Source organism: Homo sapiens, chromosome 2, assembly GCF_000001405.40.
Source record: "Homo sapiens chromosome 2, GRCh38.p14 Primary Assembly".
In the NCBI taxonomy this organism is placed as follows: Eukaryota; Metazoa; Chordata; class Mammalia; order Primates; family Hominidae; genus Homo; species Homo sapiens.
In genome coordinates, this window is record NC_000002.12 from 241,540,568 (window position 1) to 241,544,383 (window position 3,816).

Genomic DNA, 3,816 nt, shown 5'->3' on the forward strand with positions numbered 1-3,816 from the left:
GCGGGGTCCCACCTCTGCAGCTTCGGGTGTCTGAGTCTGAGGCAGTGCTGAGGATGAGGTCACTCTGGAGGGTGGCCCGGGGTTCCAGGTATGGGTGCATTACCAGGCCTTTAGGAATGTGAAGGATCGCCTGGGAACATGCCCAGGACGCGACGTTCAGTGAAAAGTCATGTTTCAGAGCCACACACGAATCACATTTCCTTATCTCTGCACAGTGACCGTGGATTTTTAAATCTTTCATCCGCTCCCCTAATTCCCCAGAGTGCCGGGGCGCTCGGTTGAAATGCGAGTTGCGTTTGGCTGCAGGCCGTGACTGAAGCCTCAGAACAATGCCCAGTGTTTCAAAACAACATATTTGTGCAAAAAGAAGGCCTCCAGATCTCAGGAAGCGGGAAACAGCTGAAGAAAAAGAACGCCTGCGAAGGGAAAGGACAGGTGTCCCTGTGGGAGGACAGGGCCTGCCGTCCGTCGCTCGGCTGCAGGTGGGGCCCGGCCGCCCCAGATGAGCCCCGCTCCGCGCCCGCCCTGCTTGCACCCAGCCGGCAAGTCCACCGCTCGCTCGCGACGCCAAGGAAAGCAGCAGCCCCGGCGCCCACGGAGGACGACACCGGCCGCGGCCAGGGGCGGGGCGCGGCCATGAAAGGCGGGGCCAGGCGAGGGGCGGGGCCGAGGCGGGTGTGGTCGTGTGGGGCGGGGCCGCGGCGGGGGCGGGGCCTGTCACCAGGGGCGGGGTGAGAAGGGGCGTGGTCATGAGAGGACCGAAGAGAGGGGTGGGGCTGCCTCCGAGGCGAGGACCGTGCGGGGCCACGCGTGGGGGCGTGGTTGTTGGGGCGTGGCCGCTGGGAGGGGCGGGGCTTCTCTGCGCACAGGTGCGAAGCTCCCGGCTTCAAGAGCGCAGTAGCGGCCCCACAGGGCAGAAGTGCCCTTGTTGGAGACGGGTGCCTGGGGCAGGTGGGGGTACCCGAGGGTTTCCAGCCACAAGGAGGGGTGTGGACGATTGGGGGATTGGGGCCGGTGCGTGGTCCGCGCAGCCCTCCGTTCCCCAACAGCAGATCCCTGTCCCTCGGCCCCGTCCAGCATCTCGCTCTCCAGCCCCACTCTCTCCATCGGCAGAACCTTCAGAATGTGCCGCGGAAGGGAAGGGGCGCGGCCGGAGGGACCCCTGCCCCGCGATTCCGGCGCCACCTGACCTGCCGGGCACCGGGCACCGTCGTCCCCCGGCTCCAGGAGGGTCCTGTCCTCCTGCTTCATCGGCCCCAAGATTCCTCGGGTCACGACTCTGACCCCCGCTCCCAGGGCGCCAGGCGCGGACAGCGGGGAAGCGGCACCAGGGAAGCCCAGGGACGCAGGCTTCCGCTAGGCTGAGACGCGCTGACCAGCTGGGGCCCCGCTGGCCGGAGCCTCCGTTTCCCCCTCTGCAGAGCAGGCTTGGCCGAGGAGTAAGCGCGGCCGCTGCGGAGGGTTTGGCAGCGGGGACAGGGCTGCGCCCGGTGTGTGCGCGGACACCTGCCGCCCGTCCTCAGCGCCCGGTAGCCTCAGGCCCCAGCTCCGACCAGTGCGCCCTGACCTGTCCTGCCCTGCACGGGACGTCCGCCCCAACCCCACCCAACCCAACCCCCGAAGCTGTGTAACCCAGGGACAAGAGTCTGCCCCAAGGGGACGCCCAGCTCTGTCCAGTGTGCCCACCACTGTCTCCGGCGCCTGGCCAGCTGGGCGTAGAGTGGGCATCCCGTTCAGGGGCGAGATGGGTGAAGGACACAGGGAAGGCGCGTGCGGTGTGGCAGCCTGGGCCTCCCGGCCTCGCCAGACTATGGGAGACGGCTGCTGGGACGGACGGGAGTCAAGCTCTTCAGTGCCAGGACTGGACACTGTGTCTGCCACTCTGGGGCACTCAGCGTTTCCAAGTGGATGGCAACAGCGTCCCTCAGTGTCCTTCACAAAACCCTCCTGAGCCGGGACTCACCCTGTGCCCGCCTGGACTTGGGCCAAGCAGCCTGGCCCACATATCCCAAGAGGTTGCAGTGCTGGGCAGCACCCCAGGGATTCGGTCACTTCTCTGTCCTCACCAGAGGCAGCTCTTCATCTGATGAAGATGATTTTTTTTTTTCTATTTTTGGAGACAGTCTTGCTTTGTCGCCCAGGCTGGTGTGCAGTGGTGTGTCCTCAGCTCACTGCAACCTCCGCTTTCCAGGTTAAGAAATCCTCCTGCCTCAGCCTCCCGAGTAGCTGGGACTACAGGCATGCACCACCACGCCTGGCTAATTTTTCTGGTATTTTTAGCAGAGACAGGGTTTCACCCTGTTGGCCAGGCTGGTCTCGAACTCCTGACCTCGGCCTCCCAAAGTGCCGGGGTTACAGGCGTGAGCCACCACACCCAGCCCTGAAGCTGAATTTAAGTTTTGGGAACATTCAAACCCGTTTTGGTGATGCCCAGGTGCCTTCGGGTGCCTCCTAACTGGCTGCCCAGCCTCTGGCTCCCGCCCAGCCTCCTGGAGGCAGCCAACACCAACCCTGGTCACTAACTGGACTGCATCAGACCCCAGACCAAACACTGGCTTTACCTTCTGAGCCTAGACTCCTTGGCCCTCTCTGGCATGCAGACCCTGGCTGTGGGCTTGCGCAGGATGGCACTCTCCTTTGTAACTTGTTCCAAATGCAGAGCTTTAAAAACGCCCCTTCCCACTGAGCCAGCGGCTCCACTTTTGAGTGTTAGTGCTGAGAAAATGTCAGAGATGCACAATGATGTAGCTCAAATGTCACTGGGCTGTTTCAACTTAAATACGCAATGACATGAACAATTTATATAAGACATCCATCCCATGGAGTATGGCGCAGCCATCAAACTATTGTGCATAAAACATGGTAATGGCTTAGCAAGGTGCTCACAAGCTACAATGTAAGTGGGGAAAACAGACAGAAAAAGTGCTCCTATTAGGTCCCAACTTCCCCCTTCCCCTTCTCCCTCTTTCTTTCTCTCTTCCCTCCTGTAGTTGCATAAAAATATTTCAAACATTTGGCCGGGTGCGGTGGCTCACACCTGCAATCCCAGCACTTTGGGAGGCCCAGGCAGGTGGATCACCTGAGGTCAGGAGTTCGAGACCAGCCTGGTTAACATGGTGAAACCCCGTTTCTACTAAAAATACAAAAAATTAGCCAGATGTCATGGCGGGTGCCTGTAATCCCAGCTACTCGGGAGGCTGAGGCAGGAGAATCGCTTGAACCTGGGAAGCGGAGGTTGCAGTGAGCCGAGATCGCGCCATTGCGCTCCAGCTTGGGCAACAAGAGCGAAACTCTTGTCTAAAAAAAAAAAAAAATTTTTTTCAAATATTTATAATGGTTGCCTGTGAACCAGATTATGAGTCTTATGCAAATTATTTATATTATTCTATATTTTCCAACTTGTATAAAATGAACATATTATTTTCATGAATAGGTTGCCTCCTGGGGACCCAGAAGACCAGCTTCCAATGTGTTCCCCAGCAGCCGTTCCCTCCACCAGGGAGGCTGAGTCACTGACACAGCAGGGAGTACAGCAATCCCCCTTATCAGTGGTTTCACTTTTTCATGGTTTCAGTTACCCACAGTCGACCATGGTTCAAAAATATCAGTACAATAAGTTCAGTAAGTTTGTTTTTTGTTTGTTTGTTTTTAGAAACAGGATCTCACTCTGTTGCCCAGGCTGGTGTGCAATGGCACAATCTTTGGCTCACTGCAGCCCCCACCTCCTAGGCTTAAGTGATCCTCCCTTCTCACACTCCTGAGTAGCTGGGACTACAGGCACACGCCACCATGGCCAGCTAATTTTACAGTAAGATA

At 58.6% G+C, this 3,816-nt stretch overlaps 3 annotated features.

Moving 5' to 3' along the window:
- Nucleotides 380–429: an enhancer, noted in NCBI's record as "active region_17428". NCBI's record gives its function as "activates an Ori minimal core promoter by ATAC-STARR-seq in GM12878 lymphoblastoid cells {active_cell/tissue: GM12878}" and the evidence as "EXISTENCE:reporter gene assay evidence [ECO:0000049][PMID:35858748]".
- Nucleotides 610–729: a silencer, noted in NCBI's record as "silent region_12541". NCBI's record gives its function as "represses an Ori minimal core promoter by ATAC-STARR-seq in GM12878 lymphoblastoid cells {active_cell/tissue: GM12878}" and the evidence as "EXISTENCE:reporter gene assay evidence [ECO:0000049][PMID:35858748]".
- Nucleotides 740–929: a silencer, noted in NCBI's record as "silent region_12542". NCBI's record gives its function as "represses an Ori minimal core promoter by ATAC-STARR-seq in GM12878 lymphoblastoid cells {active_cell/tissue: GM12878}" and the evidence as "EXISTENCE:reporter gene assay evidence [ECO:0000049][PMID:35858748]".